The 13538-nt window shown below is 39.4% G+C and overlaps 1 protein-coding gene across 21 annotated transcripts in view, besides 1 other annotated feature; it reads right to left on the reverse strand.

The window, feature by feature from the left end:
• ABLIM1 (actin binding LIM protein 1) overlaps positions 1-13538 on the reverse strand; it is a 370264-nt gene that overhangs the window by 319766 nt on the left and 36960 nt on the right. The gene's annotated exons all lie outside the window — the stretch shown is intronic.
• Positions 3692-4221: an enhancer, noted in NCBI's record as "H3K4me1 hESC enhancer chr10:116514326-116514855 (GRCh37/hg19 assembly coordinates)". NCBI's record gives its function as "activates a minimal SCP1, AML or CMV promoter by ChIP-STARR-seq in naive H9 embryonic stem cells {active_cell/tissue: H9 hESC(naive)}" and the evidence as "EXISTENCE:reporter gene assay evidence [ECO:0000049][PMID:30033119]".

The following is a 13538-nucleotide window of genomic DNA, read 5'->3' on the forward strand; positions in this document are numbered from 1 at the left end:
GCATTTTCCCCTGAGTTCTCTATTAATAATTCCTTTTCTTAATTGAGTAGGATGTTGTATAATTTGCCTATCAGGATTCTGAAGACTGAAGTGCTTAATGAAGAATCTGCCTTAACTAACAAATTTATCAAAAGGAAGAGAAAGAAAAAATATTCAGTCGCTGATGCTTTACTGCAAAGTCAAAAAACTATAAACAAGTGCTGCTTGGAATGTGAATGAATACCCAAAGAGGTAATCCTCACTTCCAAAATTCTCATTTTTGCCATTTTCTCATTGCTCTTTGCCAAAAAACATTGGGGAGTTGTTTGTACCAGAAACGTTAGGAGGCATGGGAAGAAAAAGAGAAGATACTGACATTTTTCTAGTCCTTTCTACTCCATACAAAAGATGTAAGTCTGAGAAAAAGAAAGAAAAATAAATAAATAAAAGATATAATTTAAATTATTTTATAAATTACACACGATAGTCTTATATTAAGTCTCATCGGCCAATGCTTCTAAATAAATTCATTCAATAAACTTAATGAATATCAAACAACACTCTCCAAGAGAAAATTGGCCCTCTGTTAGTTTTAAGTTTGGACTCCCTAACTAGAATATGTCACAAGCACCATTAAAAATGGCATACAACACTTTGGGAGGCTGAGGCGGCAGATCACGATGCCAAGAGATTGAGACCATCCTGGCCAACATGGTGAAACCCCGTCTCTACTAAAAATACAAAAATTAGCTGGGCATGGTGGCGCACACATGTAGTCCCAGCTACTCGGGAGGCTGAGGCAGTTGAGTCACCTGAACCCAGGAAGTGGAGGTTGCAGTGAGCCAAGATTACACCACTGCACTCCAGCCTGGTGAAAGAGTCAGACTCTGTCTCAAAAAAAAAAAAAAAGGAAAGAAAAAAAAAGGCGTACAACAAACGAACTCATGCACAGGGGGGAAATGGAAAGACCATGATTACAAGTGCTCCCTTTCACTAACAAACTTTTCATTTCATGGGCTTGAGAATACCAAATCCATCGCAAGCTACTTGGAAATTGCATCAACTCTCCTAGTAAATCAGGAGTGCATTTAATCACACAGCAGAAATGTAGCCCAAAACCTTCGAGCCATGAATTAGGATGGAGCCAGCACCTTCCCCAACCCTTTGCTCAAGTAACATTACATAAGAGGCTGCCAGTCTCTCTCCTGTCTACTGGAACTCCAGCCAAGATGATGCATTACAGGAATTGAGTCAAAGTAAAATTGAGTCATCTGATCTGGAAATTCATTTTTAGTTTCAGGTCTTGTAAGTGGAAGAGTCTTCTGAGGTCATCTAAGGAATAGAGGGGACTAGGGATGGGGAATGGAGGTCCCGGAGGGCACTCTGTTGTATGGTGTGTCCATGACCACACAGCTGGAAGAGAAGAGCTCAAGCTAGAATTCAAGTCTCCTAACTCCTTGTCCAACTCTTTCCACTAGAACGTACTGTCCCCTGTTGAGTATGTGCCATTTTGATTATTTTTAAGTAGGGACCTTTGGACGCAACCTTAAAAAGAATGAATTCTCAGGTTTCATTTATTTTTATTTTTATTTTAAGTTCCGGGGTAAACGTTCAGGATGTGCAGGTTTGTTACATAGGTAAACGTGCTCCACAGTGGTTTGCTGCACCTATCGACCCATCACCTAGGTGTTAAGCCCAGCATGCATTAGCTATTTTTCCTAAAGCTCTTCCTCCCCCAACCCCACCTGCCAACAGGCCCCAGTGTGTGTTGTTCCCTTCCCTGTGTCTATGTGTTCTCATTGTTCAGCTCCCACTTGTAAGTGAGAACATGCAGTATTTGGTTTTCTGTTCCTGAGTTAGTTTGCTGAGGATAATGGCTTCCAGCTCCATCCATGTCCCTGAAAAGGACATGATCTCATTCCTTTTTATGGCTGCATAGTATTCCATGGTGTATATGTACCACATTGTCTTTATCCAGTCTATCATTGATGGGCATTTGGGTTGATTCCATGTCTTTGCTATTGTGAATAGTGCTGCAATGAATATATGCGTGCAACAGATTTCATTTTTTAACTGAGGGTAACAAGTGGCTGTGAATAAGAATAAATAATCCAGCCTTTGGGAAATATATCAGCATCAGCCTATATTGTGATTGTTTTGACCTAAAAGCCGTAGATCTCTCGCTGTCCATCATTCTGGAAAAAATTAATCCTGTAACAGGCAATGAGGTTGGCTTTAAATGAAGTGAGGGGGAGTCAATATTCTTTTTTCTCTGGTATAGAAATGGTCTCCCCCTTGGTAGAAACAAAGGAATCATCTATAATATTTTATAGTGCTGGAGAAATAAGCTGTTCCCAGCAAGGCAGAGACTACTTGGGAGCAAAACAGGAGATGGTACACGAAGAGAGCATAGGGCAAGACAGCCACAGAGGGGCGTTTGAGGAATTCTGTGCACCATGCTCTCTTTCCGTTATTTCTGAATCACCAGTAAAGCTCATTAAAAGTTACAGACTAATACTTTCGGCTATGCTCTAAAAACCTCAAGATATATACACAAAGACATTCAGTGCAGCATTGTCTATAAAAACAAATGAGCAAAGATTCTATCAATAAGGGACTATTAAATCAGGTATGCTACAGCCATATGATTGAACGTTATGCAGTCATAAAACATGAGCAATGTCTGTACATACTAATACAGAAAGATCTCAACATATATGTGAAAAGGCAAAGCAGCTTTTTTTTCTTTTCAGTAGGGGGGTTAGGAGATAGTAGTTTTATAGATAGTTAAATGGATTCATTTTCTACTTACATTGTATATTCATAACTTTTCTGTACATGGAATCTCCAGAAACTTTTTAACAGTGCTTATTATAAATTTCTACTTGGATAAAGAACCCAGCCCACCAACGAACACAATGAACAAGGTTAGAAACTGCATTGTCCAAGCTGAAAAAACACAACTGTTTCTCTGGTCAGTTTGTTTTTTTGTTTGTTTGTTTTGTTTTTTGAGATGAGATGGAGTCATGCTCTGTCGCCCAGGCTGGATTGCAATGGCACAATCTTGGCTCACTGCAACCTCCACCTCCCAGGTTCAAGTGATTCTCCTGCCTCAGCCTCCCAAGTAGCTGGGACTACAGGCACATGCCACTAGACCTGGCTAATTTTTTTGTATTTTTAGTAGAGACGGCGTTTCACCGTTGGCCAGGCTGGTCTCAAACTCCTGACCTCAAGTGATCTGCCTGCCTTGGCCTCCCAAAGTGCTGGGATTACAGGTGTGAGCCACTGCGCCCAGCCCTCTGGTCAGGTTTAAGAGAACAAACCTATAAGGAAATGAACTTCTAGGTCATGTCTAACTTAGTAGAATTCAACTGAAAGGACAGAGAAATTTGTAGACTGTACCTTCTATTTTACCCCCTTCACCCTTTGCATAAATCTTTCTACTCCAGCAAACCGTGAATTTCTTAGATGGCAACGTTTCTCCTCCCAATTCTTTCAATAATTGCTTATTAAATATCTACTCCACTTCAGGACAAGGATCTGGAAATACACATGTAATATTTGGTCCCTGGCTTCACAGAATGCAGTCTAGACGTGGCTGGGGCCACCTAGACAGATGTCTCCCTACAGTTCAGTGTGTTGGATGCTAACATGAAAAAGTTTGGGTGGGAAGAAATTTAGTTATCAGAGGAAGAACAGAGTCCAATGACCAAGTTCAAAGTGTGTTTATTAGCAATGAATCAGGGGGAAAGGTTGCCTCCAAAGCAAGGCTCTGATGTAATCAAAGGAATTCAGAGAACCAGGGCAGGCTAATCTCCAAGAAACACTAATAAAAATGCTCACTTAAATCAAATGTTCTGAACACGGCACATAAATACCCTTCTCTTAGTGTTTATCACTGTAGGCAGCTTTGCTATGAAAAGAGAAAAGGTTGAGATAAACGAGTTAATTAAGCTGCCAGGCCTAGTCCAGCCCCGAGAGATTCTTTATCCTCCTTTCTGGCAGGCAGTCCATCTCAAGTTTCCAGGAGCAGAGCACACTCACTGCATCCCCTTTTTTTCCTGTGGTAAAGGTGTGACAGTGTCATTCCTGAGTGGTGACAGCAAATGACTAAGAACTGCTCATTATTCCTACAACTATCCAAAAACCTCAGGCCAGACTACCCTAAGGAGTATGAATGTTCTAGAACAGGGGTCCCCAGCCTCTGGGCCACCGACTGGTGCCAGTCCATAGCCTGAGGAACGGAGCCGCACAGCAGGACGTGAGCAGCAGGCAAGCGAGCATTACCACCTGAACGCCACCTCCTGTCAGATCAGCGGCAACAGATTCTCATGGGAACGCAAACCCTACCGTGAACTGTGCATGCGAAGGATATAAGTTGGGCTCCCTATGAACATCTAATGCCTGATGATCTTCTGAGGCGGGACAGTTTCATCCTGAAACCATTCCTCCCCAACCACAGTGCATGGAAAAACTGTCTTCCACGAAACCAGTCCCTGGTGCCAAAAAGGTTGGGGACTGATGTTCTAGAAGGCAGGAGAAAAACAGGAGTGACTATGGCCTTCCAATTCTGAATATTTCAGATACCAAGTGGAGGTCCAATATGGACTCTCTGAGGCGGGGACTATACCTTACTCATTCCTGTGCTTCATGCATGTGGTGCTAAAAGCTCTCCCGTTTGTGGAATGAAAAATAATAAGAAAAGCTCTACGCGTTTGTGGCATGAATGAGTGAACACCACCCTCAGTACTTGTCTAGCCGGCTTTGTACAGAGAGTAAAACTTCAGTGAGGTCCTCAGGTAAGCCATGACATTATCGGTCCAATTATCTGCCAAGCTTTCTGAAGGCACTTTAGTCGTATCCCACACCTGCCTCTGGCTCCGCTCTGTTATTTGCTGACTTAACTGTCCTGGGGCAGGTGGCCAGGTTCAAGCCAGCTCTGCTGGGGCCTTGTGAGAATCACAAGCCAGAATGCTGAATATGGTATTTTTTAACCACATAGAAGTCTTATTTTTGCATAGTTAGATGTATCTACTTTTTATTTCATGACTTTCAGGCTTTGTATCCTGTTTAGAAGGTCGAGACACTCTCAGTTATAAATTCACCCATGTTTTTTTCTAGGATTTCTATTTTTTCACTTATTATACTTAATTATTTAATCCATAGGATTAAATCCATTTATTAAATACTTAATTATTTAATCCATAGGAATTGTGAGTGTGTTTGTGAGTGTGTGTGTGTGTGTGTGTGTTCTAAAAGAAGTAAGAAAAGGATGTAGATTTATCTTTTCTAAATAGTTAGCTAGTTGCTCCAACATCGATTACTGGGGATCTTTCTTCTCACACTGATCTTTAAATGCTACCTTTACTATAAATAAATCCTATGCACATTTGTTCACTATACTATAACTAGACATTACTCTGTCTAATTTTTTCCAACACTAAACTCTTTTAATTAATATAGTTTCATATTGCTTTTTAAGATCTGATAGGGCTAATCTCCCTTAATTACACTTTATTTGTTTTTGGATTTCATATATTTCATTTTGCAAAATGAACAATAGTATCATTTTGCCATGTCCCTAAAACAGACCTTGTTGCCATTTTAACTGCAATTTTATTTCTTTTATGCCGAGATTTAGGGGAGATGAACATTTTTATAATATTGTGTCTTATCATCCAAGAGCCTAGTATGTCTCTCCAATGACTTAAATATTTTATGTTTCTCAGTAGAGTTTAAAATTTTTCCTCATATTGTGTCTGCATGTTACATTTAACTTCAGATGTTTTATTCTTAATGTTTAATATATTTAATTACCATTTGTAAATTCTAAAATTTCCAAGCACCATTTCCTGTGCTTAGAATGCTTTTCAACCACTTCTCCATTTGGCAAATTCCACTTGTTCTTCAAGGCCCTATTTAAATATCACTTGCTTTGTAAAGTCTTCCTTGGCCCCATATCCAATCAGGATGCACTGGTATCCTTCCTCTGTTCTCCTGAACATCTTGTATGTAACGCCATCGTGCCACTGGACACGTTGTAGTGCAACTTCTGCAGACAGGTCTCTCACCTTCATCACTCTGGAACTCTATAAGGAAAGGAGCTAGGATCCCCTGAGCCTGGCTCATACCAAGCACTCAGTGCCAAATCATAGAGCATGCATCTTCATATTTCAATAGTGTTTTTGCAGTGCTAACAATGATAATGTTGATAAATGGCATAATTTGGAATAATGTGATTATGGTTTATTTTTTCTTCCTTAAACATAAGCCATGTTTAAAAATGCAGAAAATTATCCCATAATGAGAAACCATAAATAATTAAGAAATGAAAAATAGATAGATTCTTTTCCTGGTATATTGCAGCTGAATGTAAAGAGGCAGCATTGTAACAGTAAATAGAGCATCCTCTGGCACGAACAAGACCTGAATTTAAATCCTGAGTCAACCACTTATTAGCTAGATGATGATCTCAGGCAAGTTTCTTCATTTCTCTATGTCTCATTTTCTCTAACTGTAAAATAGGAATAATAAATATTTTCATAGAAGGCTGACTAAGAAACATTTCAAATGTCCAAAATACTTGATCTCCTCCCCAAATCTGCCCCTTCTATACTCTTCCTCATTGCAAGAAATGACATGCTATCCTCCCAGTTGCTGAAAGAATTGGAGAGATCTAAGATTCCCCTCTTTCTTCTACTTCATGTTGCCAACTCATCAGCAAGTTCTCTAAGCAATTCTTTAGAAACATTTCCAGAATCCAATAATTTCTCAGCACCTGCTCTCCTCCCATTTGGTCCAAGCCACCATCTTCTCTTATCTTGACCATTACGGTAGCCTCCTAACTGTTCTTCTTGCTTCCACCCTTGCCTTACCATCTACATGTTGACTGAATGATCCTTTTAAACTACATCAAATCATGTCACAACTCTGCTCAGAACTTTCACCTAACTCACTTAATCTAACTCAGGGAAGAACTCAAATCATAACAGCAGTCTCAAGGACCAACTAGACACCCTCCTTCCCCCAACTACCTCTCTGACTTCATCTCCATCCCTCTCCCGTACTCTCTGATCCAGCCACACAAGCCTGCCTCCTGGTCCTGACAGCTCTCAGGGCCTTGGAATTGCTCATCTCACTGCCTAAAAAACTCTTTACCAGATATCTTCATGACCCCTCACTTCCTTCAGGTCTCTGCTGAAATGTCGCTTTATCAAAGAGGCCTTCCATTATCGCCCCATATGCAATAGCACCTTCCCCACACTCTCACCTCTCTAATATTCTCCATTCTTCTTTTTTAAATTTTTTTCACAGTACTTTACACCACCTATCATATGTTTATATGGTAAGTGGTTGTCACACTCCAAAACCTAGACCACTTAGTAGGTGTTCAACTCATACTTATGGAATAACTGAAGAAATGAATACATTCTTGCCAACTACAATTCTACAGTTTATATAAAGCATCTAACCACAGAATAGATTCTCCTAAAATAAGTAGTCACAAGGAACTGGTGAAAAAAACTCACCCATCCCTGATGCCCATGCTCATTACTCACTCAATGCTTAAGTGATTCAAAATAAAGATTCCTTTGTTTTACACCAGAACAACAAGAACAAAAAAATTCTCCCTGGAATCCATTAGAGATTGCCAACCCCAAACCTCTTTTCTACATTTTTTTGACTTTTAAAAATTATGGCTCTGTCCCCTCCCTCCTTCCCCCAGACTCTGGGACTCCTCTCCTTCTGTTCATTCCTATTTGGAGCTGAAAGCCAGAAATAGCTGTTTACCTCATTGTCCTCGTTTCCCTTCATTGTTACCATTCAGTTCTCTGGTGGCTTCCCTGTGGTGGATGTTTTTTAAATGAATTCCCAATAAGTTGAGAAAGAAAAGTATCAGTAAAGACCCTGGACACAGCCTAAAGTAAAAATATATTATGTGATATTTTCTTTAGGAAAAACTATTTAAAAATTGACCCTAACACAGGTAAAGTTTCTTCATTTATACATATATCATCTAATATTATTCTCAAAAGTAATAATGTTAAAGAGCTGGAGAAAGAACACACCATACAGAAGAAAGGACTAATTGTGTTTATTTAAAATATGAATAATAATAATTATGCATGTTCAGCTCTTCCTCCTACAAGCAAGCCTATAAAAATTATCTAACAAAGGACTAAAACAACATGATCGCCAATCAATCAGCAAATCATTTTTGCATGCTCGACCCACAACTCCTGCTTTCATGTTTATTTTAATGCAGGGTTCAATAATACAAAGGCTTTTATAGGTTCATCAACTAAATAAGGATATACCATCCAAAACTAATTTTTTAACGGGCAATTTCCTTATAGTGGTAAATGCAAATTAGATAATTTTCCCATTAAAATCATACAATATGCTGGAAAAGATAAATCTCTAGCACATTGGCATAAAATCAAGTAGGTTGTGAGTCCAAAGATAACCACAGGTAAACCAAACTATACATTTTAAAGCTTATGTGAAACTATATTAACCGGAAAAAATAGAGCCTTTCCCATGATAATGAAGGTCCCAAAGGCACTAAGCATTTCCTTCCCATGATAATTGTATCTGGATAATTTAACCCAATAGAATAAAATCATCATGTGAATTACCTAAGAAATAAAAAACAAATATTCTAAAATTTTATTTTGATTTGACTTTATGCTAAACGCTGTTAGTCTCTGATAGTAATTATACCTCAGCACACCAACTTGCCATTTGGGAAAATAGCCCAAAAATGTGCTGGATTGAAGGGGAGGAAATAGGCAGCCTAAGATTTAAGTTTAAATTTTGAGGTAGATAATCTACAAAGTAGCTAATACTACAGGCAGATATTCAGCTATTGATCAAAAGTCGATCTTTTAAGGCCAAGGAATACACCGACACCATAAGGCATGCTGGCTAGAAACACTACCAGTTAGAAAGGCCACAGTCTCAATTTTCCTAGGATAGCCCCAGTATACACCTATTGTCCCAGTATCTCAGCAGGTTTAACATTTGTCCTAGATAGAAGCATCCCAGGTGGAATTATAACTTATATAGTATATGTAAATATATACTTAAATGTGAGCCATAAATGTCGATCAGCCCATTTGTCCCAACCTTAACCACAAATTCTAATGTCCTTTAATCTTTTTCCACCCAAAAACCATGACAATCTTTACTGCAGAGGGCTCAATAACTATTTGTTAAATGACTACATTAATTAGTATATTAGCATCCTCAGCCCAGGAATAGACAGGATTTGAAATTAGTCTGGATGCTGCAGGAGAGAGGTTCAATAAATACTAGCTGATTGAATCTCGGTGAGAAAGGGTGACAGATTAAGAGTTCAACACTGTCTATTATATTGTCTTGCTTGCTGTTAAGATATTTTCAGATATATGGTTGCCAGTTCTGTTTTGGGGAGGAGGGAAGAGAAAAAGCATATCTTTTCTTAATTGTTGAATCCCTTTTATATCTAACATAAATTACAACCCCACTGACTTCTATTCCATTCTCAGCAAGAAGAAAATTTCTCCTTCACACACACACACACACACACACACACACACACACACACACACACACACTGACTTAGTGCTTATAGCTCAAGAACTGATCTAAGGATTGATTTTACTACAAATTCAAGGACACATATATCAAATGTATAAGAATAGTTGCCTATGGCAAAAAGGTAATGAAATTAAATAATGGAGATAAAATAATCAATATATTAGACCACAGCAGGTCCTGATGGACTGACAATGATAGTAAACCATTACCTGAGAAGTGTGATTAACTCAAGCTTGTCTACACAAGTTCCCAAAAATTAAAAAACAAAACAAAACATAATGCAGTTCACAGATACAATGTGGGAACAATTCAACCTTCTGAAAATCTTTGCTGAAACATATGACACTCCCACATGTGAGATATTGATGTCCAAAATGATCTCTCTCATGTAAAAAAGAAATCTGTTTATTGAATCAGAACCATTTATTTTAAATGCAAAAAAGAACTTCCAGGAAATGTAGTGTTTTGCTGTTTTGATATTAAATACTAAATCTAATAATGGCTAAACTTGGCTTTCAAAGATAGTTTCTCCTTTCCTTGATTTAATAAACTGCTTGGGAGCCCTGTAACTCAAAGAGAGGAGAAACTGTAGTTGATACAGGCCAGAAACATGGCCCCCATATCACACCAAATAAGAACTCTTAGTGCACTAATCTTTACAACATCACCATGAAAGAAACCGATAAAGCTAGAGTGATGCTTGGGACAAGAGGCCCAGAGTGGTGGGCAGAAGTAAGAGAGAAGAAAGATGAAATGAAGAAGTCTCCCATTTATCAACTAGCAGATACATTTTAGGCTCTGCTATAGGCATCAAAGCTCAAGAAATCGGCAAAAAAAAAAAAAGTGTGGTTCTGATTCCTATTGTCCCTCCGCCCACATTCTAACCTTGGCCCCAACCCCATGAACAAGCCATGCTTAGCAGACAGCTTTGCTGCTACTCGAGGAAGCAGATGGCAGCCCCTATCACCTCTCTGCCCCAGCTTGCTACTGCCCAGGCTCTCGGCTCAGTCTGCAACCAAATTCCTCATGCCAAAGTTAGGACATTTCAAACTTGTCATGCGCAACCATCTCTCTCATTTCTGCAGTCTCAGCCATGGGAAGAACAGAGCCCTCCTCTCCCTTCTCATCCCTTTCTGCCCTGTTTCTTCCTTCCCACTGCACATCTCTCACCACTGACAACCTTCCACTGTGCTCTGGAACTGCAAGCCCTTGTCAGTGAAAAACCCTACATCCTCAGCCTTTCCCCAAAGTGCCCTCTCCATCTCCCAACTCCACTGAGATCTGGTTCTCCTCTCCCTGAAAAATATGTCATCTGGCAGCAACAGGCTTCCTAGGTTCAGTACTCACCATGCCACTTCTTTTCATGCCCTTTTCCTTGGAAAGGCCTTCCCTCCATCCTATTCTTTTTTACCTGGCTAAGTCCAACTCATTCTTCAAGAAAACAACTCTACTTTCTTTAAGAAGCCTCACCTGATATGGTTGTCATGCCCACAGCTAACTCAATGCCACTCTTTGGTATTACCATAATTCTCACTCTATCCCATATGCTCTCTCTCTCTCTCTCTCTCTCTCTCACTCGCTCTCTCTTTCTCCACTCAGGATATCCTTTTTTTTTGAGATGGAGTCTCACTTTGTCGCCCAGGCTGGAGGGCAGTGGCGCATCTCTGCTCACTGCAAGCTGCACCTCCCAGGTTCACACCATTCTTCTGCCTCAGCCTCCCACATAGCTGAGACTACAGGCGCCCGCCACCACGCCCAGCTAATTTTTTTTATTTTTTAGTAGAGATGGGGTTTCACTGTGTTGGCCAGGATGGTCTCAATCTCCTGACCTTGTGATCCACCTGCCTCAGACTCCCAAAGTGCTGGGATTACAGGCGTGAGCCACTGTGCCCGGCCAGGATATCCTTTTATAAATATGTGTGTATTTGTCTTCCCCATAAAACTGTGAGCTCCTTGAGGGTACATACTGAGCCCTATTAACTAATTGCTGGCATGTAACAATTATTCAATAAATGTTCATCAGATAAATCAATAAAAATCTATGTCCCTGACTCCAATAAGTGAAATGAATGAGTAGGGATTAAGTGGACATTTTTCCTTTATTGGATTTTTCTCTCAATCTATTAAAGCTGTTCTTACTTACTACCAAACAACATAAAGATATAGCCAAAGAAAAGCCAACCACCTTCCCTCCTCACCCTTACCTTTGAGGTAGCCACTGCTAAATGCTTGTTATGTACTGTTCTATGATTTTTTCTCTGCTTGTGGAACACACACATATGCACACATAGGGATTTTTCTCAATTTACAAAACTAGGGTCATTTATGACATAGATTTTATTCTAAAACACACTCTTTTCACTTAACAATGTATCATGGCCATCCCTCCAGACCAGTGCATATGGGTCTCACTCACTCTTTCCAATAACTGTGTAATAGTCCACATGTATGCGCCACAATCTGGTCACTCATTCCCCCAATGGATGAGCAGTTAGGTTGCTTCCAGTTTTGTGGAAGTTCCGAAAACAACGTTAGCAAAACTGGTCTAAGATTTCGACAGCACACATGAGTTATTTCCCTGCCAGTGCAATGGAATCTATCCACACACACCTGGGCCTTTTTCCTCATGACTCAAGCTTCTGAAAAGCCAGCAGTTTCACTGAGTGATTGCTTCTTTGTAAAGTGTTTGTTTTCTGCATGTGTCTTGCATGGTGTATGTATTTACTATTTATTGAATTGGACCGAAAGCTAACCAGATAGAAAATTGTCTGGAAGGGTTTATGGGATGCACTGTTTGCCATTAATTCTGAGGTTTTGATAGGAAGGGAGAAAATAGGAGATTTTCATTTTTAACTTTGTATAATTCCAGCCTGTTTGAATTTAAACATACTGTATTAATTTATAATTTAATATTTTAATGTATTATATAGGTATGTTAACATAGTTTTGTTGTATTAATACATTGATAGTGATTTTTTTTTGAGACTGTTGACCAGGCTGGAGTGCAGTGACATGATCTTGGCTCACTGCAACCTCCACATCCCAGGTTCAAGCAATTCTCCTGCCTCAGCCCCCGAGTAGCTGGGACTACAGGTGCACAACGCCATGCCCACCTAAGTTTTGTACTTTTTTTTTAGTAGAGACGGGGTTTCACCATGTTGGCCAGGTGGGTCTTGAACCCCTGACCTCATGCTGCCTTGGCCTCCCAAAGTGCTGGGATCAGAGGCATGAGCCACTGCACCCAACCTGATTTTAATATATTACTTTTATAACTTAAAAATAACTTTTTTGAAAGCTTGCAGGATGATCCAGACCCGGCATTAGAGAAAATAAGCTCTAATTCAATGGCTCCCAAGTCTGCCTGTACATAAGAAATAACTGGGGCTTATTAAAAATGCAGATGCCCAGGCCTAACCTGAATATTCTGATTTAGTAGCTCTGAAGAAGAGGCTTTGTATCAGTACCTTTGATAAACACTCCAGTTGACTCTTATGATCCTGCCATAATGGGACACCACTGTAATCTAGTGGTCCTTAGAATCACTTTTCACATGTTTTGGGACTCTATCTTTAGTGTTTAGAAACCATTAGATCTGGAATGAGGCCTGGGAATCTATATTTTTAAAAGGTTGCCTAGACAATTCTCCCCAGGTATGGAAACTCTATTCCAAGTGTTATAATTTCCTCTAGCTGGTAATTCAAAAATCAAAATATAATGGATCCGTTTTGGTCTCTAGTGGAAAAATACAACACCAAGTTACAAGTCTTTGATGAGAGTATCCTAAAATACCACAAGATGGGAATGTCTTAGCTTGCTCTATCATAAAATTAAAGAATGCTTTTAATTGTTAGCTTGAATAGAGAACTGGATTTTAATACTTTTCTCTTAAAATTTTAAAAATAAAGTTGCTTTTCTTATGAGATTAAATTGATTTATTTGTTTGTTTGTTTTTTTGAGATAGAGTCTCAGTCTGTCAC

The sequence above is a fragment of the Homo sapiens genome, chromosome 10 (assembly GCF_000001405.40).
Source record: "Homo sapiens chromosome 10, GRCh38.p14 Primary Assembly".
Lineage (NCBI taxonomy): Eukaryota > Metazoa > Chordata > Mammalia > Primates > Hominidae > Homo > Homo sapiens.